General features: G+C 38.1%; 2 pseudogenes; one reads left to right on the top strand and one right to left on the bottom strand.

Annotated features, from left to right (window-relative positions):
* On the bottom strand, window positions 3,736-6,426 carry RFESDP1 (Rieske (Fe-S) domain containing pseudogene 1; annotated as a pseudogene).
* IPMKP1 (inositol polyphosphate multikinase pseudogene 1) lies at window positions 16,676-23,032 on the top strand (annotated as a pseudogene).

Below are 24,499 nucleotides of genomic sequence, written 5' to 3'. Positions count from 1 at the left end.
AGGAATACAACTATGGTGTTTTCACAGGAGAAAAATACTATTCACCAGTAAAAATAAATGAACTGTTTCCACATACAAAATATGAATAAATGCCACAAATACAATGTTTATAAAAAGAGGCCTTAAACAAAGAGAGTACATTTATCTAACTGCATTTACCTAAATATTTCAAAACAGACAAAAATAATTTATGGTAATTAAGGAATAATTGTTACTGTTTAGGAGGGGGATTGTGGATTATGACTAGGGGCAGGCATTAGAGAGAATGCTAAGGTGTTTTTCTGTTGTGTTTTCTTTTTAAAATTCATTGAGATTTACACTTATGATTTATGCACATTTATGTATGTGTAATATACTTCAATTAAATTTACCTTAAAATATTGAGCGACTGGTATCAAATACATAGATGACCAGATCCTTGCTCAAAAGTCACTTGGAAAGATTCCCATTTTTGTTTTTATCAAAATATCAAAAGTTAGTGTTCAACTGCCTTGTACTGTGTCATCTTCTAATAAAAAATTTTGAAATGCAGGTATGTGTGATGAAAATGACTGTTTTTAATATAAAAATGAATTAAGACTAGTACCATAAACACAGTTTAGAAGATGTTGAAACCGTAGGATGAACACACAGACTGACTAGCAATTTGTGATCAGTTACAACTCAAAAATCATCTTTTCCAGATTGGAAGGAAATAATTTTCAACTATGTGAAGTCTGATAAAGAATATAAAGCATGAAGTTCTATCTGTGTAAACTGGGAGCTTTCAGAAACAGGGAAACCATTGGTGTCTGTGTGTCCATAATAGTAAAATTTTTGAGGCTAGTGACAATATCTTGTCTTTCGGGTACCCCATATAGTAACTTTGAGGCTTATCAAAGGGTGCAAGAAAAGTGGAAGCATGATTTTCATGCGGCAGAAGAGCCAGGAAATGGAAATAAAAATAACCCAACTCAAGAGGTTTAAAAAATACAGATATAAAAAGAACTAATTTGGAAGTCTGTATATTCATGTCATTATAATATGAATTTTTTTTTACAGTGAGAACAGACCTTTTTATTAATATATTGAGATAAACTACAGAGACTGAAAGACAAAAATTCATATTTCATTCAGAACATTCATTAAAAATCTAATGCATTTACTTTGAGTTCTCGCAGAAAATTTTATTGAAGTCTGATATAACATTAAATATTTTACAAGTCAGACATTTCATTTTTAAATCTAAGTTATAATCCTGAAAGCATTATAGACAAAGTAAGCTCTCCTTTACCAGTTTCATTTAACTTATACAAGGCTCCCATTATAATTCCATCAAACCTTAAAAATCACCTGCAGCTTTTAAAAACACATAAAGTAAATGGAAAGAAAGTCTTATGTAGCAATCCAAAAACCAAAACCAGAAATTGGCAAGAAGCATTTCTTAATACAGATAAACTGCAAAATATCATTTCTGTGTGTTTCTTTCTTCTTATTGGTTTAATCATCCTATTCAAAATAATTCTTTTTGAAACTAATATTTACAGTACTCCAATGTCACTGAAAATCTCTATGATTTTAATGGCGTACTTAAATGGCAAAATAGAATATCAGATTGAAATGTACAGAGTCTTGTACTGAAGTGAATGAGACTTGCCACGGCAGGTGTCATCTGCTAGGCAGTTACAAGACATCTTGGCAACTAGTCATCCCAGTTGTTACTAACTTACTAAACAAGGACTTTTCAAGAAATACTTCTTACCCCTATATATTTCCAGCTGGCTGGATATAGAAAGATATAATTGTGTTTGAAGCATGGGCCTTGTAAGAGGAATCTCTGCATTAAAATATGAAAAAGAGCAACAGAAAGAATTCACACCAATGAAATTGTGTGGACTGATTTTCAAAGTTAGAAATAAAAATATCCACTGGGCGTGGTGGCTCATGCCTGTAATTCCAGCACTTTGGGAGGCCGAGGCGGGTGGATCACGAGGTCAGGAGATCGAGACCATCCTGGCTAACACGGTGAAACCCTGTCTCTACAAAAAATACAAAAAATTAGCCAGGCGTAGTGGCGGGCGCCTGTAGTCCCAGCTACTCGGGAGGCTGAGGTAGGAGAATGGCGTGAACCCGGGAGGCAGAGCTTGCAGTGAGCGGAGATCGCGCCACTGCACTCCAGCCTGGGCAACAGAGAGAGACTCCGTCTCAAAACAAAAAAAAAAAAAAAAAAAAAAGAAATAAAAATATCCACTGCTAATAGAAGCCCTGCTCTGTGCAAACATAGTGTGGTATATATTAAACAATCACACATTTGAGGTATTAGCTGGAAAAATATAGGTATATATATACACCTATGCATGGACATATCCACAGAATATTCACAAACCTATTGCCCCCAACACCAGCAGATAGTCATATTAAATGAAAAAAATCACATACCAACAGGAAAAAGTTACACATAGGGAATTTACCAAAAATGTGGTGCCATAGCCATTAATATAAGGAGTATGTTTTGAATTGATGTTTTGAGGAAAAATGTTTCCATTTATATGAAAGTATCTATTTAATAGTAATAAAACCAAAAAGGAAGCTGAATTCTAGGACTGTGTTGCCTACCAAATTATTGAAGGGATGAGCAAGAATTCCTTGAAAAGCCTCGTTCTATCCTTTTTCTTTGTAACTAAAAATTAGAATTTTTTTTTTTTTTTTTTTTTGAGACGGAGTCTGGCTCTGTCGCCCAGACTGGACTGCAGTGGCACGATCTCGGCTCACTGCAAGCTCCCCCTCCCAGGTTCACGCCATTCTCCTGCCTCAGCCTCCAGAGTTGCTGAGACTACAGGTGCCCGCCACCACACCCGGGTAATTTTTTTTTTTTTTTTGTATTTTTAGTAGAGACGGGTTTTCACCATGTTAGCCAGGATGGTCTCTATCTTCTGACCTCGTGATCCACCTGCCTGGGCCTCCCAAAGTGCTGGGATTACAGGCGTGAGGCATTGCACCTGACCTAAAAATTAGGATTTAAAAAGTTGGAAATTATTGCCAGACTACTTTCTTTTCATTGGTTTATAGAGAATTTTATGGATTTTAACTAGGCAATAGTCCAATGTGGTCAACAGACATGGTTTTTCAGCTGTTGAATGAAAATTAAAATTCAGATTTATTGTTGATTTTCATAAGTTTTCCTGTTCAGTTAAGAAAAAAGATTATGAATTCCCTTTCAGTTTGTTTCATTCAGTATGAAGATGGATAGTAATAGGATAGTACGGAACCCAAGCTTCAGATGGGGAAGCTCAACAAATGTACAAATTCTCCTCTTTTAACCATTTGGTCCTCTGAAATAAGACTTGCTTAACTGGCAAGATGGCTCACTTGGTCCTCAAGCTAACATCAAGAAATATTTAACTGTCTTAACACAGGTGGGAGATTTATTTATTTTTATTTTTATTTATTTATTTCTTTTGCGACGGAGTCTCGCTCGGTAACCCAGGCTGGAGTGCAGTGGCGCGATCTCGGCTCACTGCAAGCTCCGCCTCCCGGGTTCACGCCATTCTCCTGCCTCAGCCTCCCGAGTAGCTGGGGCTACAGGTGCCCGCCACCACGCCCGGCTAATTTTTTTGTATTTTTAGTAGAGAAGGGGTCTCATCATGTTAGCCAGGATGGTCTCCATCTGCTGTCCTCGTGATCTGCCCGTCTCGGGCTTGCAAAGTGCTGGGATTACAGGCGTAAGCCACCGCGCCTGGCCTATTTTTTTATTTAAAAAAAATTTAAAAAACCTTTATTTGAAAATTTCATATAGGCATTCAAAGTACATTGACTCATTGAACAGGAGACTTTACATCTCTCATGGCTGGGCAGCAGGTGTGTGTGGCTTCCTTACTGCTCGATCTGCCTTGATCATAGAGAAACTAAGCCAAGGCTTATTTGGTTTTGATGTCTAGCACAGTGGTTAAGTTTCTTATTTTCAAGTTCAGCAGGTAAAATTATCTCATTTTTGGAGGCATTTTTTAAGTATACAAAATCTGCTATGTTATTTGGGAAAGTTGTACAGTTCAGATGTGAACATTTCAATGTATTTAAGCTTTACCTAAAAATGTAAAAATAACAATCAAATAGGAGAGGTAGGGAATCCATAGAGGTATAAATAAAACAAGAATGGAAGAATGCTGATAACTGTTAAAGCTGAGTGATGGAAGTTCATTATATAGTCTATTTACTTTGTATATATTAAAACTTTTCCAGAATTAAGTCTGCTACATCAAACAGGGATTTTTTCCTATTTTAAAAATTAAATTTTTAAAATTAAAAAAATTCTTACTAAACCTTAATTTTTACCTATTATTTATTTTGTTTACTCCAAATTTATTTTCATCCTTCTTAAACAGAACATACCAAACCTATAACCTTCAGGTTCTAATTAATCCAGAGGATTTGATAAAATGTATTCTATTGATCCTGATGATAATCCTTATATCATACTAAGTATGTGTGCTCTTAAACCTCTCAAATTTATATGATTTTTAAATAGTTGTGCCTATGTTGAAAAATTTCATCCCTTTTAAAACTGAAGCAGAGTTATTCTAAAAATGTTTTCAAGCATACACAATATTTTTCATTGCTATGTATTTTTTATCAGGAAGAACTCTTAATTACTTTGAAGTATCCAGTGGCATAAAAATCAGAGTCATTAGTTCATTAGAAAGAGTCACATAAATATTCCCATTGTCTACTGTCACTGTGTGAATCCTTTGCTTTATTCCTTTGGAGCACTACTTGGGTTTTGCTGATGGATCTTTAGAGTTTATAGTCTGGTACAGACCTTCTCCTGTTGCCAAAGTAATTTTGTATTTATGCCAGCGGCAAACTATACACGGTCATCCATCAAAATCCTCTATATCTCCCAAATGTAAAGGTCCTCCTGAGTGGTAACAGCGAATATCCATAGCATGATATTCTCCCTTGTGATAGAAAATGACCACTTCTCTATCATGGACAACAGCTATTATTCTTTCAGATTTTTTAATGTCATCTTCTCTGCCCACCCAGACAGAAGAATATTCCCTCTTTTCAGTATCTTGTGCAGAGCCATCAAGATTCATGTTGGAGAGGAAGTGTAGATAAGGAAGAAGGTCTAAGACATTTCCTGAAGCACTTCAACATTTAGAGGTCAGGTGGAAGAGAGGTTGTAGAGAGGCAAGACCAGTAGAGTGTCCAATCTACTGCTAATCAAATGAAATTCATTCACTGCTTTCTTCTCTATCTTATATTCTCCTTGAATTGCAGATAGGTGGTAACTTGTCACTCCTCTTGAGCCATGATTAAGCTGCTTTTACTAAGTCTGGAAACTTTGCCTACACATTATCAGAATGCTTATCTCAAGTATGACACCCTTGCTTTTAGGTGCAGGGAAGAGAAATGCCTTAGAGTAGTTTTGATATCTCTCTGAATGGCAGAATAATAATAGATAAAACTAGCTGTCCTTCAGTAAGTGCCTACTGCTTGGACCCTTTGAATATAATAGTTCATTACTCTTCACAAAACCGCCACGGGGTAGGCATTAGTTTTATTCAGGTTGCACCCACGGATTTATAAAAACATGTGGCTTACAAGTAAACTATCCTGAAGACACAAAAACCTTTTAGCAAAGCAAAGATGTATATTGGTGATATATATAATATTGATATCTATATGTCACCAAACATGGTCCTGAATTTAAAAAAAAATAGGAAAGCTAATGTGCAACAGCTATGTTCACGAATGTTTACAATTGAACGCTTGCCCAATAATTTTATATAAAGTCACGTAGCTGTTCTGGAAATTGGCATCATCGTCTGATGTTGAACTGTGATCACGAGTGAGCTAGACCTGGGTTTGCATCCCAGTTCTGCGTGATTTGGGGCAAGTTGCTTAATTTCGCTGTGCTGCAGTTTCTTTTACTGTAAGAAGGGCCCGCCACATAGGGGTGTGGGCAAAGCACATAAATGCCTTAACACATATCAAATGTTTAGAGCAGGCCTAACCTCAGAAAACGCTCACAGCGCATTAGCTGGCACCTCTAAGGTCCATCCAGCTCTGGCAGTTATCCTGCCTAACTTCAAGCTGTGTTTAACATTTCGGTAAAGACGCCTGCAGTTCTGAGACTGCACGTGGCTGTCCAGGAGCTGTAAATTCTCAACTACGGACTCCAGGGAACGAGTATCTCCAGGACGGCCGGGGCTGCGGAAGCCCTGGAGCAGCTTCTATACTTTAAAGCGCACAAATGCCATGAAAGCTTGTTAGAAACGGCCTGCTTACCACCCTGAGGTGGCAGGTCTCAGGTGTGGCCCAAGTTTCAAGGTGAACAAGCTCACTGGCTCTCCTGTGCCTGGGCAGAAGCCTGCCCTGGCGGGTTAACTGTTAACTAACGCTGAACCGAAACCCAGGAGGGCCTCAGGCCTGGCAGCGGCCCGGAACAAAGGCCGCAGGTCGACGGCCTGGCCACCCAGAACGCTGAGTCCACGCCCCCGCCCGGCCAGAAGCAGCTGATCTCGCGAGCCCGCCCCCTGCTCGGCGAGAACAGAGCTTACTGTCCCTGAATCCTCGCTACGCCTCCGCATGACACTAAGGCAGCCAGCCAGAGCTCCAGCCACGCGCGGCGCCTGGACTGGGCCGAGATTCCTATGAAATACATAGGAATCCATTAAGTAACATTAGCATGTCATATGTGTTAAATAGCTTCATTTAAAAATTTTTACAAAATATTTTACAAAACTATTACAGTATTTTTATAATATTTTACAAAAATATAACAGTATTAAAAATACTCACCTGGAAGTAAAAGTAAAGTGTGTTTTTAAAAAAAGGGAAAAAACGGACGGGCGCGGTGGCTCACGCTGCACTTTGGGAGGCCGAGGCAGGCGGATCACAAGGTCAGGATCTCGAGACCATCTTGGCTAACACGGTGAAACCCCGTCTCTACTAAAAATACAAAAAATTAGCCAGTCATAGTGGCGGGCGCCAGCAGTTCCAGCTACTCGGGAGGCTGAGGCAGGAGAATGGCGTGAACCCGGGAGGCAGAGCTTGCAGTGAGCCGAGATCCCGCCACTGCACTCCAGCCTGGGTGACAGTGGGAGACTCCGTCTCAAAAACAAAACAAAACAAAAAGATGTCCACAGGAAGAATATAAGTGGACAATAAATATTTGAAGGTCAATCCTTTAATATTGAATGGAATGTCAAACAAATTTAACTTATTAAAATAGCTTTTACTGGTGAGTATTTGGAAAATACAGGTTCTTATATTATGCTGTCTTGAGAACATTTAATTACTTGACTTAATTGTAATTCCAGGAATTTATTTCAAGAACTTAATCATAAACATAGAGAAATACTTATACACAACATTGTTAATCAGAATATTACTTTTAAAAGTTAAAAATGAAAAACAAACCAGTAAGGATTGGCTAAGTGTATAGTAGAGTATTATTAGCAATTAAACATCATGTTTCAGAAATATACACAAGGATATGGCAAATTATCCATAAATTGTTCAAAAAAGAATGCTGAAGTTTAATAAATAGACATATTATATGTATGAATGAAGACTGAAATAAAATATGTAAAAATATTAATAATATTTACCCCTTCTGATGGGATTGTACGTGACTTACTATCTGCCACTATGCTTTTCTATATTCTCAACTGTTTTGGAAGTACATCGTTTTTATTTTCAAGATAGAAATAAATGGAACTCAAAAAAAGTTTTTCTAGGAGATCTAACTACTGCATACTCCTGTTAAAATTTTTTCCTAAGATGGGTGTATTTGTCCAAGATGTCACATATGTGGCTCTGAATATGTGCCAATAAAAGGGAGCAAGAGTATTTGGAGTGGATGATCTTTCTCAAAGAAGGTGACAGGAGAAGGTAGCTGAATAATTGCAACACTGTTGCAGAAAGATGAATGGGGGCTCTGCAGAGACCATCTGTGTTTCATCAGAAAGGATGATGACTACTCCGCCCTTGTATCAGTGAGAAAGCAACATCTTCACTGCATATACAGATTTTCTATAATAAAAATGTTCCTGGCTGGCATAGAGGACTGATCAAAGTCAGAATTTTTTCTTGTAACCAATTTAATTTGACATCTCAAAGAGTGAAACAACAATGTTTTATTTGGGAAATTAACACACACCAGCTCAAACAATGTTTCATTTGGGAAATGAGCTTTGAGCTGGTATGTGTTCTTCATCTACAGGTTAATTAAAATAAGAATTAAAGCACAGTTGCATCAGACAAAAGTCAACAGGGTTCAGATTAATTCATTTCATGGATAATCATGAATTGTTAACTTAGAACTTCTTCAGAATTTAGAGAAAAGTCAAAGAATTGGCACAGAGAACTTTTCAACACTTCATGCTACTTGCTTTGGAATCCACGTTATTTATTCACTATCTGTTTTCACTTGGAGTATACCCTGGGGCATTTTTGCTTCAGTAGGTCATATGTCAAACTACAGAAACTGCCTTGGTGATGGACATGTCAGTCTGAGGAAATGATCACTTAGACTGGTGAAGGCCAGAGGTAAGATGAGATCAATGAAACCATAGATAGGAACGTGTGTTCCTCCCTTTTTCACTTTGATTACCTATCAGTGTTGGTTTATACAAAATAATGTTAGCCTGAAAGATTTTCTAAAGGACTCCTACAAAGGTACCTCTGATGGCTCATAAAAATATCTGAATCTTACTAGCCATAGGGAAAATAATGTATTTTCTGTCTTTAAAGTCACACTTTTGGAGTCCAGGAGGCTTCTTGCCAATCTCAGTTATACTGGTTTTGCTCGTATTTATTGGTTATCACCCTATGGACTGAGTGATCAGAAAGGAAATGCCTGCGGTGTCACTCCAGTGTAGTAAGTGCCCATGCAACCTCTGACTCTAAGCACCTCACTGTGTGTCTGTGTGCGTTTGGTTTAGTTTCACAATCTATGGAATGAAGCCATTCAGATTAGGAGCCCCTAGAATTGTGTTGAGGCGATCCAGACAATTAAATGGGAAAATACTGTGTTATTTATTCTGAGTATGAAAGAAACAAAACATGAAAGACAGGGAAGACAAGGAACTGTGATGGGAAGAGCACAGGACTGATGTGCGGGAAACCTGGACACCAGTGCTCAAATGCTACTTCTGTTACTGAATGTCAGTGACTTTGACAAGTCACATCGACTTTCTAAGGGGTTAAACTAGATATTCTCTGAGATACCTTCTAGATTTAATACCCTATACCAAAAAGAAAAAAAAAAAAAAAGAAGAGAAGAAAGGAAAAAAGGAAATGAAGAAATAAAGAAATGTAAAATATTCTGGAAAGACAACTTCCCTATAGTAAATTGGAAACTAATGATGAAAAGGAGTACGTCTAAGTACAGAAACATCTGCGCAAAGATAATTATTTGCAAAGACAGTCTCTGTAGACTCCTTTTTCTGTTTTGTAGGGAGTCGATGTCTTTGAAAAGATCATGAATCTTCATGATCAACTACTGCTGTTGCCTTTCTTTCCCCTTATTTTAAGTAAGACAGGAAAATGGGACACCTAACTACAGAAACCATTCAAGTAGAAAATAATTACATGATCTTATCTAAATCTGGCAGCCTTTTTTATGTGACTACCAAACTATAGCTCCTATATTTTGAGATTATTTGCCCTTACATATTTGTTCACATTTTATTTAATGCTTTGTCAACTTTTAATACCAAAATGAATGATGAAAAAATTAAACTAACACACAGGAAAGCAGTTTACAAATGTCTTTTTAAATGGCAGGAGAACCATTATTGGGTTTATAGCAGGTTATATATCATCCACATGATTGAAAAAAAATAGCAAACAACATCATTCAGGAAGAAAATAAAATAGACTAGAAAGGAAACGTAAATTTAGAAATCATAAGAGAAAATGACATAAGCAAGATCAAATTGAAAGAGTCATCCTGAAACGACTCAGATAGAATTAAAACGCAAACACCCGTATGCACACAGAATTCAAGTATATGCTCTTTACAACAAACATGAAGCATAATAATAAGAATATAATCAATAGCAATGACCAAGCAAATGTTAACTGAAAGAAATCGAGGGTGATAATATTAACAACAGCTAAAGGAAGCTGGGCAATCCAGCACCTACTAGTAAAAAGGGTCATGTGAGTTCATTTTAAAACACTTAAAGAAAAAAAGTTATTTCCAAGCCGGGCATGGTGGCTCACGCCTGTAATCCCAGCACTTTGAGAGGCCGAGGTGGGCGGGTCAGGAGTTGGAGACCAGCCTGAGCAGCATGGTAAAACCCTGTCTCTACTAAAATACAAAATTTATAAATATAAATATAAATAAAAATATATATATATTTATAAATATAAATATAAAATACAAAAATTAGCTGGGCGTGGTGGCGGGCGCCTATAATCCCAGCTCCTTGGGAGGCTGAGGCAGGATACTTGCTTGAGCCCGGCAGGTGGAGGTTGCAGTGAGCTGAGATTGAGCCATTTCACTCCAGCCTGGGCGACAAGAGTGAAACTCCGTTCCCTGTCCCCACCCGCCCCGCCAAAAAAAAAAAAAAAAAAAAGTTATTTCCCAGATGTACGACTTGTTGTTCAGAAACGTAGAAAGCATGAAGCTCCTCTGTTCCATTTCATCAAGTTTTCTAACGTCAATGGCACATGAAAGTAGAAAAAACAAGCTACTGAAAAAAGTAGTGCCTGATGTTACTTATAAATATGAAAAATTGCTGAATAAACAATGAAAAAGGCTGGGCGCGATGGCTCACGGCTGTAGTAATCCTAGTACTTTGGGAGGCCGAGGGTGGATCGCCTGATCTCAGGAGTTCGAGACCAGCCTGGCTAACATGGTGAAACCACGTCTCTACTAAAATGTAAAAAATTAGCTGGGCGTGGCGGCGTGCGCCTGTATTCCCAGCTACTCTGGAGGCTGAGGCAGGAGAATCACTTGAACTCGGGAGACGGAGGTTGCAGTGAGCCGAGATCGCGCCATTGCACTCCAGTCTGGGCAGCAGAGTGAGACTCTGTCGAGTCAAAAGAATCTGCTCTCTGAATGTAAAAGTAAGTGGACAATGGGAAAAGAGAGTTGAACAGTGAAGATAAAAGTAAAATGAAATGAAAAGAGGTAATGCTGGAAGTAAAAGTTGAAACAAAAGTAAATGGAGTTACAGAAGAAACAACTGACCATGGGGCTGACACTACTGACACTAGATACGCAGCCAGAGGAACTTAGTGAAGGTGAGCTTATCAGTACAAAGGAGGAGAGAGGTTATGATATAAAGGACAAAGATGTCCCAGAGTAAGTGACATTGGCGAAACATCGCTTCACATTACAGGGCTTTCAGAAATACTGCATGACCAAAGATGCAAAGGATTAAATGTGAGCATCTGATCCAGACTTAGAAAGGAGCGTGGAGCGTGACAATAAACCCAGGCATAGAAAAGATGAGCACTCCATAGCAAAAGTTATATGAGGAGGAGAGGAAGGCAAACACCATTCAAACTTTTCTTTGGAAGTTTTAAATAAAGCAATGAAACACTTCAATCATCAACATTTCCAATTCTTAAATTATAGTGTACTAAATAAACTTAGCTTTAGTAATGTGTGTTAGTAGCTGACAGCAACAGATTCTTTTCAATATATTCACAAAAGTTTTAAGGCCCTAGAATAATCATAATCTTCCCATTAGTTAATAAGATTGGTTTGCGGCCGGGCGTGGTGGCTCACGCCTGTAATCCCAGCACTTTGGGAGGCGGAGGCTGGTGGATCACGAGGTCAGGAGATCAAGACCATCCTGGCTAACACGATGAAACCCAGTCTCTACTAAAAATACAAAAAAATTAGCCGGGCCTGGTGGTGTGCGCCAGTAGTCCCAGATACTCGGGAGGTTGAGGCAAGAGAATGGCATGAACCCGGCAGGCGGAGCTTGCAGTGAGCCGAGATTGCCTCACTGCACTCCGGCCTGGGCGACAGAGCAAGACTCCCTCTCAAAAAAAAAAAAAAAAAAAAAAAAGATTGGTTTGCATGATTTCAGCATGGATTATTCTTACAGTCCTGCACTACTTACTGTGCAGAGTGAGAACAGACTTTCGGGATTTCACACCAACTGTCAAATGAGAAATAGTGCATCACTATGTAAATATCTTCTGAAGTCATTAAATCAAACTTATCATATATTCTTTTTTTGGGATTACAGGCTCCCGTCACCATGCCTGGCTAATTTTTGTATTTTTAGTAGAGACGGGGTTCACCATGTTGGCCAGGCTGGTCTTGAACTTCTGACCTCGTGATCTGCCCGCCTCGACATCCCAAAGTGCTGGGATTACAGGCATGAGCCACCGTGCCTGACCTAAATATTCTTTATAACATCTCAATTTTAAACCTGATAACATTCTTAAATAAGAAATACTAGCAGACACTTTTAAAGTTAGGAATAATTATTATTTAACCTGGACATGAATAAGGGAGAAATGATCATTTTAAACTTTACTGAGTACTGCCTGGGAAACAACTGTTAGAATCTAGTGAGAATCCACTTGAATCCATCGAAAACTTTAATATAATTTCTAAATAAGTACATAAAGACAATACTTTTTATATGTTAGTAATAACCAAGTAAAATATATTATTGGAGTAAAGGATTGTATTTGTTGTAGCAAAATTTCTGATCTAGGAAGCTAGGAAATTATTTGCAACTAAGATGACAGGCAAAATATTGAATTTGTTTAAATATATAAAAAAGTACTGCTAAGATAAAGAACAAAAATTATACAATTTAACCAAAATGTGAATAAAAATGGCAAATAACTATTTGAAAAAATATTTCATCTCGCCTATTTTATTTTATTTTATTTTTGGCTAAAATAGCAAAGATTTTTAATGATAGCTTACTTGTAGTGGCAATGGTGATATTAGATGGATTCAACTATATCTTGCTGAAAAAGATAAAAATGGCTACTTTCTTTAGGAATGTACTTTGGGTTATATGTAAATACCACTGAAACATCCACAGCTATGGTGCTGGGTCAGAAATGTTGAGGGAATTTAGTGAAAGACTTTATAGGTTTAATGCAGATCCTTTGATTGTTTAGGGAAGTCATATAACTACTCACAAATTTGGTGATTCACTGGAGAAATTACGCGACTCAACATATGAGGCTTGCATGGACCAGCATATGAGGGTTCCAGCTGCAAACAGAAAAGTCATGTCCAAGATGTCTCAACTTTGGGAAGCTCACTTGATCCTTGTGATCCATACTGGTCACATGGTTACATGACCAGCAATAGTGTCCCAAACCAGGCATCAGGATCACATCATGAACCTTCAGGTTTACCTTACATAATGCTGACAGTCTGATGCATCCTGACCACTGCCTTGGGCATGCAGAATAATATCATTAACCAGTTACCATGTGCACATGCCGGGACTTGGTTCTCAGCACTTAGCCAGGAGGCATTACAATGGCTACAGAAAGAAGCAAAAATGATAAAACAGACCTGCTGAGTTATTTTATTCCTTGCAGTTTACCTCTGACCCTTAGTCAGTTTCACCTTACAAAGAAATTATTTATAACACTATTAAATCTACATGTAGTGTACCATTTATTTATAGGGTAAAACAGGAATGGTAATGCAAATACATGCATCATTTGCAGAAGTTAGTGAGGAAGGGGGGCAGACTTAAAGAAATAATCTGTTAAATTCAATGTTCCACAACATATTTCTTTTTACTGTTATATAAACTTAATTATTGATTTTTACTTATCTATGGCTATCTTACTTTATGAGAAAACTCTGCAGAAACACCTATTATAGTGATTAATTGATTAATTAAATCTCATTCTTCCTCAGGCCAATTAGTGTCTCTATTGATATTACAACCCAAGGAAGTTTTAACTCAATTTCTCAGTATATTCACTCAACATTAGTACTATCATTTGATGCATTTATATAAGATAGCCAAATTTTACCAATAATCCCAATTTTACACCATATTGGAGTATTATTATGTTATTATTATTTTTTTTTTGAGACAGAGTCTTGCTGTGTCGCCCTGGCTGGAGTGCAGCGGCATGATCTCAGCTCACTGCTACCTCCGCCTCCTGGGTTCAAGCAATTCTTCTGCCTCAGCCTCCCGAGTAGCTGGGACTACAGGTGAGTGCCACCACGCCCAGCTAATTTTTATATTTTTAGTAGAGATGGGTTTCACCTTGTTGGCCAGGCTGGTTTCGAACTCCTGACGTTGTGATCCACCAGCCTCAGCCTCCCAAAGTGCTGAGATTACAGGTATGAGCCACAGTGCTATTATATATTTATTTATTTATCTGAGATGGAGTCTTGCTCTGTCGCCCAGGCTGGAGTGCAGTGGCGTGATCTCGGCTCACTGCAAGCTCCACCTCCTGGGTTTATGCCATTCTCCTGCCTCAGCCTCCCGAGTAGCTGGGACTACAGGCGCGTGCCACCACGCGCGGCTAATTTTTTGTATTTTTTTAGTAGAGACGTGGTTTCACCGTGTTAGCCAGGATAGTCTCGAACTCCTGACCTCGTGATCAGCCTGCCTCGGCCTCCCAAAGTGCTGGGATTACAGGCGTGAGCCACCGCGCCCAGCCCTATGCTATACTTTCGTATTGTTAGAAAATAATTGGGTGAGCATTATAGCATTATTAAAATCATGTTAGTAGATTTGGACTTTACCCATATACTAGATATTATTATGAGCTGGGATTGTTACCAGTGTCTTATGATTCTGTTACTTCTGGATTTCAGGCTAACTGGTACAAAGCTAATCTCTTAGCCTCTGTCAGTATGTTTGCACAGATACAAGGTTCCCATCTGGTGTTACATATGTAAAAAAGCTCTCCTTGATTCCACAAGGAGTATACATGTGTTGTTTATTATATTCTTTACACAATATGTCACGTCTTGGTTTATTCTTGGAATAAGAGCATTTAGGGAACATTGATATAAATTGCCTTTGCCTCAAGAAAATTTTCATAAGTTCAGGAGATCACGTATTTTTCAGAAGTGTACTTCTAGAGCTTCTGCTGCAACTAAAACGGTAGGTCACCGCCTATGACTCATTTGACCTCCATTTCAAGAAACATGATTTGAAGGCTCTGTTGGACTAGCTTGTGTGCTCTTTTCCGATAATGAGTTTTTTGTGTTTTGTCATTTTCTAATATGGTAGATTGGGTTTCTATGACCTGATTTACTAGGGCATCTGTCTTAGTCTGTTTTATGTTGCTATAACTGAAATCTGAGGCTGGGTAATTTATAAAGCGAACGAATTTATTTCTTACAGTTCTGGAGTCCCCAGAAGTTCAAGGTTGAGTGGCTGCATGTGGTGAGAGCTTTCCTGCTGCTGGGAACTCTCTGCAGAGTCCCAAGGCAGGCATCACATAGTGAAGTGGCTGAGTGTGCTAATCTGCTAGCTCAAGTTTCTCTTCCTCTTCTTATAAAGCCACCAGTCCCTCTCCCATGACAGTCCATTAATCCAGTAGCCTATTAACCTGTGCTTGTTTGTTTAGAGATGGGGTCTTACTCTGTCACCCAGCTTGGAGTGCAGTGGTGCAATCATAGCTTACTGCAGTCTTGAACTCCTGGGCTCAAGCAATATTCCTGTTTCAGCCACACCAGTAGCTGGGACTACAGGTACATACCACCAGACCTGGCTTATTTTTGTATGTTTTTGTAGAGGTGGGGTCTAGCTTTGTTGCCCAGGCTGGTCTCGAACTCCTAGCTTCAAGTGATCCTCCTGCCTTGCCTCCCAGAGTGCTGGAAGCCATCCACCATGTGTCATCACACCTGGCCTAACCTATTAATCTATGAATGAATGAATTCACTCATGAAGGTAGAGCCTTCATGACTCAATCATCTCCTAAAGGCCCCTTCTCTCAATATTGCCACATTGGGGATCAAGTTTCAATAGGAGTTTCTGAGGGGACAAGCATTCACATCATAGCAGCATCAATAGATTCTGTTCTTTACTGTTTGAACATAATTTCTTCCAACTTGTCTATTTTTGCTATTGATCTTTTTCTTTTGAATGTCCTTTATACTGAAGGAAAACTTTGCTTGTCTTACCATGCCTATACCCATACCTATTTCACAAAGAGCTCTCTTTCATCTTGTTGCCCAGTGTCTTTTAATCCACTACACATGCTGTTGTTGTTGAGTGCTAATTGCCTGGGAACAATAAAAATACATACTTTGTACCCCAAATTGTCGGGTCCTCTATACTAAGGTCAAATGTGTAGTGGTCATTCATACACATTTTAGTGTGCCACAAAGCTTCCCATAACCCCCCATTGTCTCGCTGCAGAGTTAACTTCAGTTGGGATGTGAGCCCAATGCTTTATCAGCATCTGAAGTAATTTTTTGTTTTAATCTTGTGTGACATCTGTCCATCCATAAAGACAAAGGTTTAAGTTCTTTTATACATTACACTAGGAGATAGCTGCCACTATTTGTTTTCCATTATACTCAGGAACCTAAGCATTTGGCCATCAGATTAATGACACAATGATTAGTCTGCCTGCCTGATATGACTGTACATCATAGCTGCCAGAAGGGAGAAACTCTCCGAGATCCCTCCTTAATTGCAATCTAATTGATATGTCCTGTAAAACAAGAACCAAAAGACTTAAGGGACATTAAGAGAGTCCTGCTTAGTCTGTCTACTGGGCAGCGCCGGGGCCTGCGGCTGCACAGGAGCCGGAGCCGGGAGCCGCGCTCCGCCAAGAGTTGGGCAGACGCCCCCCCTCCCCTGGTTGTCATGGGCCCCCTCTCGGGGCCTCAGCGGGCACCAGCCGCGGGAACCCCCGGGCCTCCTCGCGCCCGAGCCTGAGCGACCCTCGGGTTCTCCGGCGCCCCCTCCCTCGCCCTATTTTTTTCCTGCTCTCGCTACCGCTACCGCTTCTGCTCTCGGTTATGGCAAAAGAGCCACCATCACCCCTCCGGGTCGAGGCGCCAGCCCCCCGGAAATGCGGGCCCCACCGGCGATCGAGGCCATCCCTGAGGGCACCGGGCAGCCGGCGGGCGGCAGACTCCGCCTCCTCAACGGCTAAGTGCCCCTCTCGTATCAGGTGGCCGGACACATGAACGGGAAGGACAAAGTGGGTATACTGCAACACTCAGATGGCACAGCTTTGAAACAGTTACAACCACCTCCAAGGGGCCCAAGAGAGCATACGGTTTATGCTGCTGACTGTTCTGATGGTGTTCTTCTAGAGCTACGAAAATATTTGCCAAAATATGGCATCTGGTCACCTCCCACTGCACCAAACGATTTATACCTAAAACTGGAAGATGTGACACATAAATTTAATAAGCCCTGTATAATGAATATAAAGATAGGGCAAAAAAGCTATGATCCTTTTGCCTCATCTGAGAAGATTCAGCAAGTACCCATTAATGGAAGAGATTGGGTTTCTTGGTGCTTGGCATGAGGGTTTACCATGTTCATTCCGATAGCTATGATATACAAAACCAGCATTATGGAAGAAGCTTAACAAAAGGAACTACAAAGGATGGAGTCTCCGGATTTTTTCATAATGGGTACTGCTTAAGAAAAGATGCTGTTGCTGCCAGTATTCAGAAGATTGAGAAAATTCTGCAGTGGTTTGAAAACCAGAAGCAGCTTAACTTTTATGCAAGTTCATTACTATTGGTTTATGAAAGTTCATCTCAGCCAACCACTACAAAATTGAATGACAGAACTTTGGCAGAAAAGTTTTTGTCCAAAGGACAACTGTCAGACACAGAGGTACTAGAGTACAATAATAACTTTCATGTATTAAGTTCCACAGTGAATGGAAAAATAGAGGCTTAAGTGGGCAAAAACTTGTCCAAGATGTATGCTCGTCACAGGAAAATGTATACAAAAACCATCACAGTCAGACTTCAATGAAAGTTGAAAATCTGGAGCAAGACAATGAGTGGAAAAGCATGTCACAGAACATTTAAATGGAAATGTACTTTCCCAACTGGAAAAAGTTTTCTACCATCTTCCCACTGGTTGCCAAGAGATTGCTGAAGTAGGAGTGCGAATGATAGATTTTGCTCATGTGTTCCCTAGCAGCACAATAGATGAGGGATATATTTATGGGCTAAAGCATTTAATTTCTGTACTTCGAAGTATTTTAGACAATTGAATCCTCTGTTGCAGTCTTTTTAAGGGGTGGGCCAATCATAATGAAGAGGAGCAGTCAATATCTCTGCACCTTTAATGCTATGTAAAAAATTTGTATTGTGAGTCAACATTTTATTTGTCTTTATACTTTTGGAAGAAAGGTTAACTTTTTTATACTCTTTCTCAGGAAAACTAATTATTTGTTCATTAGAAAGCTATGAAGAATAAAGAAACTTAGGAATGTTAAGCAGGGAATGTGGTGGTACATGGCTTAAACATCTTTTTTGGCTCAAGCAAAATGCAAATCATTATTCAGTCACTAAGTGTTTAGTTAGCTTTCTGTAGCCAATTCATGTCCAACTCTGTCCACCCAGCCTTGACAATGAGCCATATCTAAAATATTCCATTATTAGAACACCTACCAAGATCTCGAAAGCACAGGTTGTTGTTCTTAGTATTGCTATGTATGAAGTTACTAAAACTGGTGAAAATTCTACTTCAGAAATAAGTGGTGTTTAGGTTTTATATTAAAAGTTCGGACCAGCATATCAAAGGGTGCTTCTTAGTGAAATGATTTAGAATTGCTGCATTCCAAAAGCAGGTTTTCTCTTTAATTTTTACATCTCTCTCTCAAAATATTATACTTCATGAAAAAGACAGTTGATGTGGATGACAACAACAAAGTCTCGAAATTAAGGGCACACTAATTGTCCTTACTGGGGTTAGGGGAAGAGAGAGGTTATTTTCAAGGAACAAAATATTTTTCTTTACAATCTTTCATTTATGAGAAAATTGGAATATAAATTTATAACATTGTGAAAAGTATCATAAACCATATAACTTTTTATCTAAATGCAGCTTTAAAAAGTAAATAATTGAAGTTTTATTTCTCCTCTAAATAACTTGAATTGTTTTCTTTAAAAATTTATGTATTTATATGTCCCCATTTAGTTAAGTGGTAGTGTAAATGTATGTTGTTAAAAGCAGTTTCTCGGAATTATAGTAAACAATGAAAGATAATATCTAATTAGGTTGTTATCAAAAATACTATGTGTAAATTAGTCCGTCATATAGGGTTTGGTGCGTATCTAAATTCATGCTTCTATTTCACTCTTGTTCAAAATAGTTTTATATTATTTTGAACAGTGAAATTATAACTTAATTTCATGGGGACAGGGACAGTACTACAGTTCCTGGAAAAATTAGATTTGTATTATCTTTGTTTCCCACCCACCACCTTAAAAAAAAATCAACCAGTTATTTGTCATTGAAAACATTTAAAACATTTGAGTCTTCAAATACATATGACGTGAATGTTGTCATTACTTGCACTTTGATTCACTAATAACATTTCTAGGGAGTTATACGTTTTGTCATATTTCTGGAAAATTATTTTGGGGATGTAAATTGTTTCTCCTATTTTTCTTCTAGAGTTACAAATTGAATTTTTAAATCTGAGTACCTTTGTTGTGGTGTGGAGAAAATTATCACAATTTTATCTTTATTTTACCTTCTCAACCTTCTCTGGGGGTGTTTTGCAAATACCTGAGTCCAAACAGAAGAACCAAATAAATGCTCTATGAACTCTATCCTTAGTAAATCTATTAAACTTGAATAATTTAAAAGATCATGTGCATTTTGGCCGGGTGTGGTGGCTCACGCCTGTAATCCCAGCACTTTGGGAGGCCGAGGCAGGCAGATCACGAGGTCAGGAGATCGAGACCATCCTGGCTAACACAGTGAAAGCCCATCTCTACTAAAAATACGAAAAATAGGCCGGGCGCGGTGGCAGGTGCCTGTAGTCCCAGCTACTCAGGAGGCTGAGGCAGGAGAATCACGTGGACCCGGGAGGCGGAGCTTGTAGTGAGCTGAAATCGCGCCACTGCACTCCAGCCTGGGCGACAGAGCGAGACTCCATCCAAAAAAAAAAACCGATCATGTGCATTTTGTAATAGAAAAATTTGATTTTAATTTTTTATTTAGAATTGATGTATTTATCATAGGGACTTCCAATTTTTCTTCACTTTTCAAATGAATATTGGCTATAGTTTTATGAATGAATGAATTTCAAGTCATAATTAACAATCAGAAAATTTTTAGTTTCACTTCTTTCTTTTACAATATGGACTTTTGTTGTTATTTGGATAGTGGTTCAATAAATCTTAAGCTCAGATAATTAAATACTATTTTGAGTCTTAACAAGATACTGAGGCTTTTTTTGGATGGGATATTATCAACCTATGCACAATGAATTAAATAAACTTAAGTATTATCAGATTTTTTGCACATTTTAGCTCAATAAAATCTGAATTAACTGTTCAACTTTTTTTTATCTGTATTTGGAAATATAATTTTGTAAAATCAGTGTCTTACCTTTTTGATACAATAGATCATGTTTTATTTTTAATAAAGCAAGAAGCCCTTTTATCTGTTGTTTTTCAGGGAAGGGATTAATATTTAATTCTGTTTGTTTACATTTGTTATCATTGTTATCCAATGCTCATTTTATGTTGCTTTATAAGTAAGCTTAGGTATAACAGAATAAGTATCTGTTTATGTAATCTACATGTGACTATTTTAGTCTCTCTCAGTCACTTAATATTGTGCTGAAATTTACCACTGTGGGGATGAATGATCACTACTCACCAAACATATTTGAACATGTAAATGCTTAAGAAATAAGCATAATACGGATATAGTTTGGGTTAATAGGATCCTTACAGTTTTTTCCCCTATGAAACATAAGTAATGATTTTAGTGTGTTTCTTATGGAATACACGTATTTAAAAAGGACTTTAAGAAATTGTGGATGTGAATAATACCTTTTTCTAATAAAAATTTAAATTGTATAATAGTTTTATAATAAAGTATTTAATTGATATTTTAATATGGATGGACATTGCATAGATTCAAATAAATTAAAATAAATGATAAATTCTAAATATTTTACCTAAATAGTTTTTCAAGAAACAGTTATGAAAATGTGTATATTAAATGGCTCTAATGTGGAGCTTGTGGTATTTCAACTCAGTATTCATTATTCTTTGTTTTGTGTGTCTGGAAAGATTGTACTTACTTTTCCTCTTTACACTACAATTTGTTCTTATGGGGCTCTAAACTGTTCAACTGAATAAGAACCTTTGTATTTCGATTGAGCATAATTTAGTATTTTATGATTTCCAAGATGATGTTCTTATGTCTATCAAGTTTATGTATCAAATTTATAACATCATTTAAGAGAAAGGAATTTCCATAGATACTTCAGTTGCATTTTTTTGTTTCACACAGCTGAAAATGCATTTGTTTTTAGGGGTTGGAATATTATAGAAGATGTAGGATGAAAGAAAACGATAGAACAACGAAAGAATTCTGTTTGCGAAATTACAGGAATTGTGTCCACTATAGTAAAACATTGTCATCATTTTAATACATTTTCTCTTAGTAGCTTGGCGTTTTATACTTTAAAACTTGATTTGCTTTAAAAATTGTTTACAATGCTTACCTTCTTTCTCCAGTGCCTTTAGCTTTGATTTGATACGTTTGTACCCTAAGTTACCCTTTCTATTACATGTTTTTGATGTTTTCATAGCCTAGGAAACACCGATTCCTTTTTAATAATTGTCAATCTGGTTATCTAAAGAGGTAACAATTATCTGTTAATGCTTTGGAAAAACAAGTGGGGTTGCCTTTGGAGGCCAGGCTTCTAGTTCATTCAAAGGTATTTCTTGGATTTATGCCATGTGTTAAGCATTTTTAGCCCCCAGTATTACAACTGTGAACCAAACAGGTAAGGGCCTAACCATTTTCAGCATTCTCTTTGGATAGGGTGGGATTGGGGACTTAATTGAAATAGAGATATAGAAAAATAGGCATGTAAATAAGATAATAAGGTTGAAATGAAGCAGCCAACAATAGTTGAAGTTAGAAGTAATATTTTGCAGTATTGTAACCTCTATTTAAGTTTGGGTAGTAGTTACAGATAGCATAGAAAAGCCTTAATTTTTCACTTTCCTTGCTGGCAAAGGTATGTTTATTTAGACTGCCCATTTAAAGTAATGTTTAACATAAACATTACTGTGGAAAACATTCCATTACATATTCCCAAGCAAATGAGCTGCATCTTCTTTACTGTATTTTACAATTTAGCACAACAGTTTTAGGCCTCAGTCTTCACATCACTGGTATTTTAAATTTGGCAATGAATATGGAATTACTTTTGACTTACAGACTGATTATATTGAAAATGCATTAATTTCTTAGAAAAGTTTGGAGCCTCTATCTTTTTTTGAGTTAATATTTAAATTCTCATTACTTATTTTAATAGCCTGTACTAAGTGAAAATATTACTTATGCAAGTAAACAAATCACTGTAGGCTTTCAAGACTTTTCTTTAATTTTAAATTTTGTCATCATTGAGGTTTAAATTTTTTACCTGCTCTCCACTTAAAATATATATTAACAGTTGGTGAAGTGAAATAGTTTTAAGTATGATGTATGATGCACCTGCAGATAAATGGAAATGGTGTGCACAAAGACACTTTACTATGGGAACTGTACTGGAAGATTTATGAAAGCATGTGAAATTGCACCTAAAATTGTGTTATTAGTGACTATAAGCAGCAATGCTAAATTTATTGTACTTGATGAATGAATGTATTTAGTCTAGTCACAGTTACTTTGTTAAATGTATAAATGTCTGTAGGGTTTTTTTTTTAAATGTGTTTGTAATTTGTCGTATTGTGGGGGTGTATTTGGACTGCAGGGGTTATTGTCAATGTGTGATTTGTGTTTTTATTTCATAGAATCATCTAATGTGTTATACCAATTTTTATACGTGATATTTACATAATTCTAATAACTGTATATTTGACTACCTATTAAAATGTTTTGCATTGGAAGAAAAAAAAAGAGTCCTGCTTACTCATCAGGAATTGTTCCTTTTTCTTTAGCACAACATGGGAGAAATGTGTCCCCTGGAGAGATGGCACTTAGGGATGCTGGTTGCCTTTCTACTTAGTAAGATTTCAGAATTGGTGCAACGTTAGCAAAAGTATTACGTCCCCCTCTGAACATCTGGAATTTAAGCTGAGAGAAAACATTATTCTCTTGCTCTGAGGAACTCTCAAGGCACTGATATAGTGCTGGATATTCCCTTCAACAGTGTCCATATATTCCACACTTTGCATTCAGGTATTATCTCTTTTTTTTTCATTTATCATTAATTTTGACCCAAATTTTTCCACCTTAGGAGGAACCTGGTGCACCTGTTGTGCTGGCCAAATTGCCAGTAGCCTAGTATGTGAGTCTCCTTCAGTCCACTCAGATGGAGGACAATTAAATAGGTACAAAATTAGTGGACTATTGCATCCATGAAGACCTCACCATCAAATTCAGCTTTAATCCTAATTTTGCTGAATGAGGATAAGGAGTTTGGCAAAGACAAGGGCTACCAAATACTCCATGTTCTCCTCTACACTCCCTGGATTCCCCTGCTTTTAGGACAGGCGGTGTGCTTAGTTATTGTCAATGGACTCTGAAGAGAAGGATATATGTCTCTTCTGGCATGAAGCAGTTAAGAATATTGCAACTCTGGCAACTCTTCCTCTGTCGTGGAAACCTCAGAAACCACGGCCGGGCGCGGTGGCTCACGCCTGTAATCCCAGCACTTTGGGAGGCCAAGGCAGGCGGATCACCTGAGGTCAGGAGATGGAGACCAGCCTGGCCAACATGGTGAAACCCCGTCTCTACTAAATATACAAAAATTAGCCGGGCGTGGTGGCAGGTGCCTGTAATCCCAGCTACTCTGGAGGTTGAGGCAAGAGAATTGCTTGAACCCTGGAGGTGGAGGTTGCTGTGAGCGGAGATCGAGCCATTGCACTCCAGCCTGGGGGATAAGAGCGAGACTTCGCCACTCCCCCACCATAAAAAAGAAACCACACATGTTGAAGTGCTGGAATAATAAGATCAGAGAGATCTGAGTCTCTGAGAACTAGATGGAGTTTCAAAAAATGAGAGATTTTCAAGAAAAGTTGGCCAGTGCGGTGGCTCATGCCTGTAATCCCAGCACTGTGGGAGGCTGAGGCAGGCAGATCACCTGAGGTCAGGAGTTTGAGACCAGCCTGGCCAACATGGGGAAAGCCTGTCTCTACTAAACATACAAAAATTAGCTAGGCATGGTGGTGAGAGGTGAAGCCAGCTGGACTTCTGTGTCGGGTGAGGACTTGAAGAACTTTTCTTCCACGTGGTTTGTAAAATGCACCAATCAATCAGTGCTCTGTAAAAACACACCAATGGTTGCTCTGTGGCTAGCTAGAGGTTTGTAAAATGCACCAATCAGTGCTCTGTGGCTAGCTGGACGTTTGTAA

Source organism: Homo sapiens, chromosome 13, assembly GCF_000001405.40.
Source record: "Homo sapiens chromosome 13, GRCh38.p14 Primary Assembly".
NCBI classification, from domain to species: Eukaryota; Metazoa; Chordata; class Mammalia; order Primates; family Hominidae; genus Homo; species Homo sapiens.
Note: the sequence above shows the minus strand (reverse complement) of the source record. Positions and strands in the feature narration are given on the sequence as shown.